We start from the raw sequence: 12,971 nt of genomic DNA, 5'->3' as shown, positions 1-12,971 counted from the left end.
CCTTAGCATGTAGTAAGTGCCCAAAAATGTTATTTCTGTTTCCGTCTTCCCTTAGACTGGAGTTCTGCCTTTCCAGCACATTGAGTTTATTTCGAGCACCAGCTTAAAGATTCTATAACGTGCTGTGATGTCCACACTCCAACCTAGTTCCTTGGAAGTGACATCAGTTCAAATCAAACACAAGGCTATTGTGTTCCTTTGGATTTGTCATACTGGATTGGCAGTTGTTTCCCTTGGGGTACAACTTGGCAGCTGATTCAGTTTACCCTATCTTGACCTTACCTGGTCACAGACCTTCCCAACCCTATATCTGATGCCAGTAACACAGAGGCAAGCAGAGTGGAATAGTGTTTAAGTGCACAGGCTTTCACATTGGATAACCTGAGTTTAAATCCCATTGCTATTACTTCCCTACTGTGTTATCTTAGGCAAGCTACTTAACTTCCCTAAAGGTTCAGTCCTTTTCCAAGACAATGGGGAGGACCACATGAGATCATACATACGAAGCTCTTAGCAAACTACCTGGCACATAATGAATGCTCAATTAATATTGGTTATGATTTTATGCTTTGCAGCTGAACCTAATCATGTAAAGGATGATATGCACTAATCATCAAGTAATGTTTGTGTCTTGAATACCATTCACCTGTCAGTAATTGGAATCAGGCCACAACTGTTCTTGCCAAATTAGGCAGTTCCAGTTTTTGTATGGTGAACTTTGGGTAAAAGAGGCTGAGTGGTTCCTTAGCCACAGGTATATTTGATAATATTTTTATTTGCTTTATTTCATTTATTCACAAGTAGCCTCAGAATCTGGGTTTGAAAGAGGGAGAAAATGATTCTTCACTCACCTATGTGTATTTCTGAGCCACAAGGAGAAATTGAGTCTAGAAGAAATGAGGCTACACTTATAATCCAATTGAGAATCTCTAAAGGCCTGAGCCAAGCAGAGGTATATGAGAATAAAAGTCCCCATGAATTCCAAGCCCTAGAGTGCCCTGCATATAGCAAACCCAGAAACACTACATTTATTAGCAAACACATAGGGGCCTCTATGACTTGGAATCTTACACTCGGAGCCATCACAGCATTACTGAAATCCTAAAACATTCACTTCTGTGGTGCACACCATTCAGGCCCCAGGAAAATACTTCTCCAAATCAGTTGACCTATGTCCTAAGAACAACAACAACAAAAAACTACATCCACATGCCATGAAGATTTGTGGATTGTGCTTCTGCTAATGTGGAAGTCAGAAAATGCTTAAGAAGACAGGGAGTATTTGAATGACAGGCACACTTAGATAAAGAAAATAAAAACAAATTATTTTAACTTGTCCAGTTCTTCCTTTGTAAAGCATGTGTCCAGCAAGATATCGGTTCTTTACATTGGTAACTAAATGTACATTGCCCTGTGGAATTGTGATTAGTTTAAGTTTTATAAACATTTAATGATATTTAATTACTTTTTAAGAAAATAAAATATAAGTTTTATTTAATAATCTTTATTCATATTTGTTATACCTCTTAATTATAATTCATATTTCTCTTTTCATGTTATAAAATAATTTGAATGTTTGAGAAGAAAAATAACTTTTTGAAAACAAAAAAATCATTTTTATATTTCAGGTTTGCTTTATTTTATGTTTTTGATTAAAATATACTCAAACTGAATATTTTGGACATAATCACATTTTAATTTTTGATCCTTTAGATCATCATTATCAATAGAATCAAACTTGTGATTTACTTAAAAAAAAGCAAAGAAATACATTTTAAAAAATGCATATGAAATACTTTTTAAATTATATATGTTTTTACTTAATTCTTCACCCAAACTTTGGCAGCCCATCAATTGAATACACAGACATGTACAATATTAATTCAGTCATCTTTGATATTTTACAGATTTTCAAATGTATAAAAACAATAGCTTTTATATTTAAAACAATTTGTCATTAGGAAGATATACTAGTTTAGGAAGGGGATAAAATATATTTTATTGGGCAGTCTGTATGCTTCAGTTATAACTTTAAAATATTTAGACATAAGGCATGTAGGCCTCCATTTGCACTCCTGACTTGGGCCCTGAAGAATTGGGAACAGCCTGCCAGGGGTACATTCATAGTCCTGTCATTTAAGATTGAGGAGGAAGAAACAGAAAAAAATGAAGGCAGTCATGATAATTTTAAAACCAACCAACCAATCAACCACCCAACCACCCACCCAACCAACCAACCAACCAACCAACCACTCACCCAACCACCCAACCACCCACCCACCCACCCAACCAACCAACCACTCACCTAACCACCCAACCACCCACCCATCCACTCAACCAAACACCAAACCAACCAGCCAACCACCCAACCAACCAAAGACATAGAGCACATACCAGCAGGGAACAGCTACTACATCTGTTTCTGCTTCCTCATACGGCAGGCTTTACAACTTAAACATGGTCAGTCTGCACTCTGAATGTATTACCCATATATTTTAGGCAAATCTGTACTTTTCAAAATTTTATTTTTGAAAAGAAAGGTACAGTCTACAGAATCTTTCATTCCTGATTCGATCATACTCAACCCATTGGCCACCTGCTATTGTTGAAGTGGAATTCAATTGCAATATACTGAATTCAAAAAGTCAATATCCAGGTATTTTGATATTTTTATAATCTAAAGATCCAGTCTCTAGGTAACAATTAGAGAGGACCCAGAGACCCAGAGCTCCAATCAAGAAATATTGACCAGAAACTCAGAAGGGTGAGTTTCTCATCTTCTGTTTCCCCACTGACTCAATGAAAAATGTTACCTGGATACTACTGAAATTCCAAATAACTACATGCTGCACCACTAAGGACAGCAACTGCTTTTTTCCAGAATAATCAGGTTGTCATCAAAGTAGAAGGCTGCTGAAATGGACAGCAAGCAACACGCACACACACACACACAATATCACATATTTTGTTCAGAAAGACATAGGTCTGGGTTTTGGGTTCAGAAAGACCTATGCCAACACATTATTAGGTTTTTAGAAATATTCTATGGATCAATGAATAGAGAGAGAATTTATTCTTCTTGAGGAGTAGGTATTTAAGAAATTAGTAAGGATTAGGAAACTTTTAAAAACATCTCTTTGGACTTACTTTATATGGTTATATGAAACAATGAAATCATTTTTCTGTATAGGAGTCTAATCTCCTTGGGAGTAACATTTTACTACCTGGTTCTATTGCTTTGTAGTTGAGTGTGTATTAAGTCCGATATCTACATACAAGTAACAGGGACAAATGGGTTCCTTTTGTAAATACTCCCTGCCACAGTCTACATTTGTAATCAGACGATCAATATGGTTAACATGTGCCAACTTCACTGGAGAAGGGTGAGTGAGCCTGGTTGAGATCCATGATACAGGAGAAATAATGTGAAGAAGCTGTATGAATGGGGCCCATTGTTTGTCTGTATTTTAAATGTTCTCATTTTTCACAACATTTTATGGAGAGCTCTTAAAAGGCCTTTATTGATAGAGATAATCATTAAATGTCAGTTTAAAAAGAGGTGTTGTTGTTGTAAATGTAATCCAATCTGCTTTTGCACAGGGCCTTTTTATCCTCGTGTACTGAGGAGTACTTTGCCAACACAATCCTGTCACCAAAATCCAAGATGTCATTCATAGAGGCTTAGAGAACTCCTTTCTAGATTTAAATTTAGAGGCATGGGATATTTATTGGATTAAATAATTTATGTTTAAAAGTTGACATAAATTTTGTACATGACTTTCTTTCTCTGTGACAACTAGACCCTGAATATTTACTCATTAAGTGATCATGTGTTGAGCATCTACTATACACCAGGTGCAGTGCTCTGTAATGTGATAAAAAAGCTAAAGTCCTTACCTTCAAAAGACAGAAATAGGCATGCAAATAAGTGGATGACAATGCAGGGTGACAAGTGCAATGTAAGGAACCTGTGCAAGCTAGCGAGTTTGAATAGAGCATTGATTCTCAAAACCTGATCCCAGGACCAGCAGAATCAGCCTTATCTGGGAACTTGTTAGAAAGGCAAATTCTCACTGCAAAAAATAAATAAATAAATAAATAAATAAATAAAATAAAATGACATGCATGTAAGGTAATGCGTATATTAGTTAGCTTGATGTAGCCATTCCACAATGTGTACCTATATTAAAACATTGTTGTACACCATAAATAGATAAAATTTTTGTCTGTTTTAAATAAATTTTTTTAAAAAAGGAAATAATGTGAATACTAATAGTAAAAACATCAGCAAATCCCTTAAAAAACAAAAAACAACAACAAAAAAAACTTGGTATGCAACAAGATCCAAAAACATAAAAGTAAAACAAAACAAAACAAAACAAAACAAAAGAGAAAACAAAATAAGAAAGAAATACAAATTCTCCAGAGCTACTGAATTCTACACTCAGGGGGTGGACCCTGCAATCTGTGCCTTAACAAGCCCTCCAGCTGTTTCTGATGCCTGCTCAAGTCTGAAAACTGCTGGCCTTAAGCAGTGATTGGCAAACTCTGGTGCAGATTAGAATCACCTGGGGAGCACTTAAAACTCCCAGGGCTCAGGCCACATCCCAGACCAATTAAATGAAAAACACTGGAGGGAGATGAAGCGGTGATGTCTGCACCAGTTTTTAAAAGTCAAATAAGATATTTCCAGGAAGACACAGTAAGAAGGCATTTCTGGCAGAGGGAAGAGTCCACAAAGGCACAGAAGCATGAAACAGCTCTGTATTTTGGAGGTAAAATCAACACTATTACTGAAGCATAAAATTTAAAGGGGTGGCCAGGCATGGTGGCTCAAGCCTGTAATCCCAGCACTTTGGGGGGCCGAGGCAGGCGGATCACTTGAGGTCAGGAGTTCGAGACCAGCCTGGCTAACATGGCGAAACCCCGTCTCCACTAAAAATACAAAAAAAATTAGCCAGGCGTGGTGATGCGTGCTTGTAATCCCAGCTACTCGGGAGGCCGAGGCGGGAGAATTGCTTGACCCCAGGAAGTGGAGGTTGTAGGGAGGCGAGATTGTACCACTGCACTTCAGCCTGGGCGACAGAGTGAGACTCCGTATCAAAAAAAAAAAAGTTTAAAGGGGACAGTAGACAGAGGTCAGTTCACAAGGAGCCTCCAGGCTGCTACTGCGTGGAGGATGAATTGAATCTTACTTATAAATATATTTTGTCTGTTTTTTATTGGAAAACTGGCTTGGGTTCCATTTTGCTACCTACCCATCTTGCGTCCTGGTGTTGACTTTCCTATCAAAACCATTCCTCTGAGCTGAGGCTGTTTATAATTAAGATCAGTGATTATCTAGCACTCGACAAAACTCAGCCACTGCTGCTCTGAGCGGAAGGAGAGACAGACTTAGTAGCAGATAACTCAGAAAAGAGGATCTGAGACAAAGCAAAGGAGCTACAGAAAAGGAAATGGTTGCTTTAGCTTTTTATTCCACCCTCCCCCCGACAGCTGAATCAGGGAGCGACTCTGGAATAAGTGCATCTGCCCTTTAAGAAATCAAAGCCAGACTCAGGAAGTGGGTGGGAAGCCTTCTAAAGAGCCTCAGCTGCCGCGTGCCTTCTGTCTGCTGTGGGCCCAGCAGCTGCACAGACCCCTCTTGTTGGGAGACAAGACAGGGCTCTTTCTCTCCCGTGACCTCAGCCTCATCTCCAATCGTGGGGAAGAGAGAAACTGAAATTCTTCCTGTGACTGAACACATGAGAATGCAACAGTTACTTGGGGTAACAGGTTTCCTGTGGGTCCTGTGTGAAGAGTATGCATTCATTCCAGTGTCGGGGAGGGGAGAAGAATGAGGAGGAGGCAGGTGCGTTCCATTCTTTGATTTGTATAATACAAATATTTCCAGAGGACAAAGATGGGCAGAAGCTTTAAGCAACAGCCATCTTCCATCTCGACAGAGGGAACCATGGTGGTTGAACAAAGCACCTAGCACCCTCTGCCTGCCTCTCCTCCCTTCCACCTCCCCTTGAACATTTTTAGGTTTTCAAATGTAATAAAGAAGTCTACTGTTCCAATGGGATTCAAGGTCAGCTCTAACTAGGTGTTCACATTCATAGCCTGCTGACCAGATCAGAGGCAGTTTAATAAAGCAACTGTAAATCAGCTATGAAGATGGTGAACACCCCGGCCTGTACTAACTTTATGAGGTTCAAGTCTCTATTTTTGATACCCCATGAAATAGGGAGAAGTCGGGGATGCATGTGTTTTGGATAGATGAGTTAGCAAGTTGAGCCTGAGATTGTGGTGAGCAATTTAGGCACAACTTCAAGGTCAGCCTCGTTTGAAAGGGGAGGGGAGGCAGTTCTCTCCTGAGGGAATTTGTTAAGGAGCTCATCACTTGTTTCTGAATTGAGCTCTGTCGGCCATCTCAGCATCATCTGACACCTGCACACATCATATCATGTGATACACTTGGGAGAAAGGGCCAGGTCAATTTCCTCCTGGTGGGTGATTTGGTTTTCCTCTTCAGCTAATGTTTAATGTTTCTCTTTTGATTTGCATGTGGAAGCCTTACTCTATGCTAAGCTATGATAAGCACTTTACATGCCAATATGACAGCATAGTCCTTTAACCACGGGCTTTAGAATCACTCTGCCATGTTCAAACCTCAGCTTTAATCATGAAATATACCCAGGTAACAAACCTGCATGTATACCCACTGAATCTAAAAGTTGAAAAAAGTCTCTATGCTACATAAAACAAAAACAAAAACAAAAAAAATCTGAACTGTATCCCTTTGGACAAGTCACCTAATCCAGTCAAACCTGAGTTTTCTTAAATACTAAATAGGAATAGTGATAATAGTGCAGGTACTTGCCAGATTGGGTTAATATGAAGGTTCATAAATTTATTCATGTAACATTCCTACACATAGTATGTACTCAATAACGCTACATACTTTTATTATGAACCATCCTTTTCACAACCTTAGGAAGTATATACTCCTCTCCCTACATGCAAAACAAAACAAAACAAAAGAGAAATTTAGAGACTTTAAGATCTGGCTCAATGTCACAGAACTCGTATGTGGGAGATTCAGGTTTCAGACTCAATTCTTGGGATACAGTCCATGCTGTTAAACATTACACTAGACAGCCTCTACCGAACAATGACTTTTTATTACTTGACTGTTTAAATTCACCTCTCCTCTCCTTCTCAAAATGAGTACCAATTTGTCCTATGCGTAATTTATTCTCGAGCCTTAACGCTTGTTTTCTGCCCTTGTTTGATTCCTTTTCTCAGTTTGCAATTTCACTGTTAGGTTTCTGCATTGTACTCACAACATTTTTGAGTACTGCCTGTTATAAACTAGTCATTTTGCTTCCACATATTCATTCCTAAAGAGAAGACCATTTCTTAAGAAAAAATAGAATAAAGGAGGAACAGATTCTCAGATGTAATCATCATGGTGTGCAATGAATATCTGAGCACTTGCAGGGCCATTGCACTTTCAAATATTCCTTTTCTTGTCTGCATAACAAGGACTCAGCCACACTCTCCTAAAGACAGCTGGCTATAGTAGTCTGGGTGAAAAGCCTGACCATTAGATCTGTGCTTCATAATTCGACAGTGAGAGAACAAAAATGGTATATTTCAAGTTTCAGATATATGTGTGTGCATATGCATATAAATTACATATATTCATATATTTATGTGTGTATATATACACTCATATAATCATGTTGGAGTTTTAGAGATTTAGTTAAGCTCTTGTAGGCTGGACCCACAAACCACAACCATAAACTGAAAAAGAATTCAGCTACCTAACAAACTACTGAATTGAAATAACTGAAATTGAATAATTTTTCTGGGATTATTTAGGTATAGATAATTTGGAAAGTCAATTGTTGAAAGTCAATTACTGCCATATGCTTCTGATATCAAACAGGTTCATTTTAGACCTATAGATCAAATAGGTCCTTCACAACTATGGCAGGAATGGTTTATAATATCCAGCAACGATGAATCTAATGTATATGTGTAAATTTTTGTCAACTGATATGCTGTTTTGTTTGAGTTTCCACTTAGCCACACTGCTGTGGTTTCTTGGGGGTAAGAGCTGTAATACACTCAGACTCCTTATACCCTCTCCAGGGGTATGGTACTTGGCATATGGTTTTTACTCAGTAAATGAAGAAGAATAATGAACTGAAATGCTTTCTCCCTGTTTCCTAAGATGCTACTTAACCAGTGAAAAAGTTACAAGTTACAAAAGTCTTTTTTAAAGCCTTTTCAACTAGATAAAAAACACTTACTACACCTTTTTATGTATAGGCCACTAGCATGTAAATGAAACTGGCACAACAAGGTAAATGTGTATAAAATAAATCACAGAAAAGAGAGTTCTGATGAGATATTTCAGTAATGCAGTAGATAGCAAATGATGATTTTGGAGTATTTTTTGATTTCCCCAATTTAATACTTGATGTTATCAAGTATGTTCACAATGATTATTGTGTCCAAGACGCACCTTAGAAGAATGTAAAGAAGTGTTAGACAAAATATGGGTAACCCATCCCTGCCTTCAGGGAGCTTCTAGACTGATTGCACATAGGTCTGTATTTACATAATTATCAAGTTACAGATCTTGTTTCTTGTCTGTGAAACTCTAACCATATTCTAGAATCAGACATAGCATCACTTCCTGTATTAGTCTTCACAAACAGAACTCTTACTGTCTGTACTGTGCTCTTTACTTTTTAACGTTAGTTCTTCTAGGTTGCATCAAGAATTCAGGAAAACCACATAGGAGGAGGCCCAACATTTTCTGGGTGTTTAATGTGTGAACCTACTTGATAACATCAATTTTTAAACAGCTCCCCATTGATACAGACTCTGAGCTACTTACCCTTTCTCTAGCTGCTCTGCAGGACTCCATATTTTATGCATGGGGACAGTGATCACAAAGTTAGAAGGTACCAGGAATGGCATGCCCATTTACAGATGTACGATAGCCTTTCAGCAATCACAGGTATATCACAGTGATAATTTCTGGAGGATAAACTGGGGAAATTGAAAATTCTACATTGGGGCTCTAAAATACTCCAAAATCATCATTTGCTATCTACTGCATCACTGAAATAGCTCATCAGAGAAATCTATCTCTTCTGTGATGTATTTTATACACATTTACCTTGTTGTGCCAGTTTCATTTACATGCTAGTGACCTATACATGAAAAGGTATAGTGCCTGTACATAATAAATTTTTATGACTGGCTAAATTATTTGAAGACCACAGATATGCTGCATCCACTCCTAACCCTTATGAAGGAACAACTGTTAGGTTCTGAAACTATATACACTATTTGCTTTAAGAGACTACAGTATAGGAAGTCCTGAAATGTACCACAGAGTATGAATAGGTTGTGAATTATATATTATGCTGAAGCTTAATGGGTACTGTAGCCGAGGGCAAGATATCTCATAACTAATTATATTCATTTTGCATTTAGCAGTACATTCGAAGTACAGATATTAAAAATGTGTAAGTTGAACTTCTGTTAAAATTACTCTCCCTAAGGAAAATAATTCTCTTTTCTTGCTATACTTTAGGCTACACTTACAGGCTGCCAAAACACTTCATTTGATTTAAGAAAAAGTCTGTCCAACTGTTGTCAAGGATCATGTAACAATGAGTTGTTTTGCTTTTTGGTTTTTTTTTTAGCCTTGTAACTGTACATTTGTGTTCTGGTGACCCAGCCTCAGGCTGCTTGAGAGAGATAGAATTAAGAGTTGATTTAAATAGTGAATGAAAAGGAGAATATGCATTCATACAGAGCTTTGGTGTTTGGAACACTTTCACATACATTATCTCATTTAATTCTCCCAAAGGCTCTACAGATAGAGGTACTATGATTATCCCTGATTTTCAGATGAGATTTTATTTGAAGAGAAGGAGTAATGGAGGTTAGGATTCAAACATAGGTGTTCTGACTCCAAATCCTGGTCTTTTCTAGGATTTCCAAAATCCTGAAAAAAGGAACGTATTTCTAAAATTCAGTACGTGCCGGGATAAATCTTTGTCAGACTACATTTGCTATCTGATTGTTGATGCCATAATGCCACTGTAGGTTAGTTTTCTCTTAATGTGTCATGTGTATAAACCAGAATTCTAAGTCTGAGGTTCTCTAAAGGATCTTCTCATGTTTCAGATGTCAATAGGAACTATTCGAATCTAAGGAATCAGGGAAACAGTATGGCATTTATTAGTAGCCTCAGAGTCTTCTTTCTAAGGCTAGAAGTAAGAAGTATCTTTAGTTCTGGACTTGATCTGCAATTTTTCTTGCAATGGGTCAACAGGGACAACCAGTTGTTGTGGACAAAGCAATGGAATTGCGACTTTAGTGAAGCTTGAAATACTTTTTCAATAGGAAGTGACTTAAGTTCACATAAGCCAATATTCAAATGGTGTCTAAAGTGTGCAGGACACTGTGGAGATGTTAAATGGAAGTGGGGAGGGACATACATCTTCTTTTGCCCAGAACAATCCTGATTTATGCCAGTTGCCCTAGTGCCCTGTCTGCTTAGAGCCACTGACCTCTTCATTCTCAAAAATTACATGGTCAGCCTAGAAAGACTCTGTCAAGTCTCAAGGAGATTGTATTATAATGTGATGGGGTCCAGTAGAAGAGGGATATAAGAAAAGCATGCCTATACATATAAAATAGGGCAGGCATTTCCAAGTGTTATATTTTAAAATGACATAAAGCAGGCTAGGCGCAGTGACTCACATCTGTAATCCCAGCACTTTGAGAGACTGAGGTGGGCAGATCTCTTGAGGTCCAGAAATCACGACCAGCCTGGGAAACATGGCAAAACCCTGTCTCTACCAAAAACACAAAAATGAGCCAGGTGTGGTGGCGCATACTTGTAGTCTCAGATACTCTGGGGACTAAGATGGGAGGATTGCTTGAGCCTGGGAGGCAGAGGTTGAAGTGAGCTGCGATTGAACCACTGTACTCTAGCCTGGGTGACAAAGCAAGACTCTGTCTCAAAAAAAAAAAAAAAAAAAAAAAAAAAGGTATAAACAAAAAATTTGGAAATTTAGATAGAAAGATGTATTTAGTAGGAGTTAATGAAGAAGGCAAATATCACCCTATGTCATTTTCAACAGTAATGATGAAAGTTATAAAAAATGCTGGGATATATACAAAATGTATACTATATAGAGAACTCATGTTTCAGATGTCACTATCCACATTACAAGAGGACTGTAACTTGATCTACCACTCTGGGCACAGTATCTGATTAAAAATAAAGTTATCTTTAACAACATTTGGAGCGACTGTTTGAATTGAGGCCTCAGGAAAAGATAACCTCCCCTCCTTACCAGCATCGGGGTGCTATGTCCAAGACAAGTCCCTAATCTTCCCTTTGTTAGTGCCTGGTTTAGAAATAGTCATGAGGCCAATTCTGGCCAATGAAATATCAAAGGAAGTCATCTTGAAGAGTTCCAGAAAAGTTTTTCCCAAGAAAGAGACACAGGGAGAGAAGGTCCCAACTTTTCTTCTGCCTGACAAAATGTCTTTATGTCATAGCTGAAATGGTGACATGTATGAATCTGAGGATGTAGGCAAAACAGAGAGAGGAGCAGAGGGAGGGGAATCGGAGACATGGAAACTTTATATTAGGGAAGGGCACTAACTGCAGAGAATTTATAATGTCTTGATTATGAGTCTATTTTTCTATCTGATTCTGTCCCTGTTTCCTTTTGCACAGTCCCATGTGGATGTCAGTGTGATGATTAGGATGCCTGATGCTTCCGAAACAAGAATACACTTTACGAAAATGCCCATTGAAAATACTTTTTCCTTTCTACTCTTGTGCTAAGAGTGCCTGTTTGGACCCCATGGCTTCGTAATGGTAAGAACATAAATTTTAGACTGGTTTCTACTGTGAACAGTCTTTATCTGATTATTGAAATCTTTCTACCTTGTGGTTACTTCCTATATTGAAATATTAAATCTCCCACTAGTAGGAACCTGTTCACCTCTTCCACCTATTTTATGGCTGTTGTAAGCGGAATTGTTTGTTGCTTTGCTAAGCTACCTATTTTTAAGAGTTTGATGTCCGTTTGCAAGTGAATTACACTAGACCCTGTGGATGATCAGAGAAAAGCAGTAAATAATGTCCTTTGACCTTAATAGAGTTGACACACATAATTTGCTCAGAGAGTTCAGGTTTGTGGGAGGTGTCCCAATGTAATTATTAATAACATCTCTTTTTATTCTCAAAAGTGTTCCAATTAGGATAATAAATTACATGGTTCCCTAGACCTTAGAGGCCTTAAATTCAGTTAGGGAGATGGGAGACCCAAACAGAAAAAGGCAACTAACCCAACAAAGCAATGTGTGATGAATACCAAATACATGGTCTGTGCTATCAGTGAATGGAGTCATGTTTTAGGAGAGACTCCTAAGGCCTTCAGCGATCTGGCAAACTACTTGAAGATGAGACAAGTTGGCTCTTGAGGAACATGTAGGGTTGAAGCCAGCAGTGAAGAAAGGAGATCATGCAATCAACCCTTCACTTGAGAGACTGCTAAAATAAAAATAAAGCCATAATTTTTCAACCTGAATAAGTACTGGCAAAAATGATTTCCTCCCCTCTTCTGAGCAAGCTGATGTTACAGGCAAACCAGCTGGCAGCTTGAGCAGAAAGCTCATTTTGGCCCCTTTAAATACGTGGGTGTTTTCCAAATGTTCAATCTGGCTCCCCACTACATTAATGAGCCATTTGCCTTGCTGAGATAATCACTACCCTGTGGTCATGAAGGGGAAGAAAGGAATGAGAGCTGGATGGGCTGAAACATGTACCCAGTTGAGGACCTCCCAGAGGGCAGCCTGGGCTTTAGTGACAGCTCCAAGATGTGGCACTGCACACACCACCCACTTCCTGTTTGGCTGCATTTTAACCCCGCTCT

The 12,971-nt window shown here is 38.4% G+C and overlaps 2 long non-coding RNA genes across 4 annotated transcripts in view, besides 2 other annotated features; one reads left to right on the top strand and one right to left on the bottom strand.

Moving 5' to 3' along the window:
* The window catches only part of LOC105369902 (uncharacterized), a 39,059-nt gene that overhangs the window by 18,962 nt on the left and 7,126 nt on the right, over nucleotides 1–12,971 (bottom strand). The window lies entirely within an intron of this gene.
* Nucleotides 5,610–12,971, top strand: part of LINC02391 (long intergenic non-protein coding RNA 2391) — a 104,570-nt gene continuing 97,208 nt past the window's right edge. For 2 of the 3 annotated variants that reach the window (XR_007063404.1, XR_007063403.1), the window contains exons 1-2: nucleotides 5,610–5,851; nucleotides 11,768–11,911. This is a non-coding gene — a long non-coding RNA (long intergenic non-protein coding RNA 2391). Of the gene's footprint in view, nucleotides 5,852–11,767; nucleotides 11,912–12,454; nucleotides 12,627–12,971 lie in introns of those variants that run through there. The other variant, XR_945205.3, reaches the window with a different exon arrangement.
* Nucleotides 6,008–6,057: an enhancer, noted in NCBI's record as "active region_6731". NCBI's record gives its function as "activates an Ori minimal core promoter by ATAC-STARR-seq in GM12878 lymphoblastoid cells {active_cell/tissue: GM12878}" and the evidence as "EXISTENCE:reporter gene assay evidence [ECO:0000049][PMID:35858748]".
* Nucleotides 6,538–6,627: an enhancer, noted in NCBI's record as "active region_6730". NCBI's record gives its function as "activates an Ori minimal core promoter by ATAC-STARR-seq in GM12878 lymphoblastoid cells {active_cell/tissue: GM12878}" and the evidence as "EXISTENCE:reporter gene assay evidence [ECO:0000049][PMID:35858748]".

This window comes from Homo sapiens, chromosome 12 (assembly GCF_000001405.40).
Source record: "Homo sapiens chromosome 12, GRCh38.p14 Primary Assembly".
NCBI classification, from domain to species: domain Eukaryota; kingdom Metazoa; phylum Chordata; class Mammalia; order Primates; family Hominidae; genus Homo; species Homo sapiens.
Note: the sequence above shows the minus strand (reverse complement) of the source record. Positions and strands in the feature narration are given on the sequence as shown.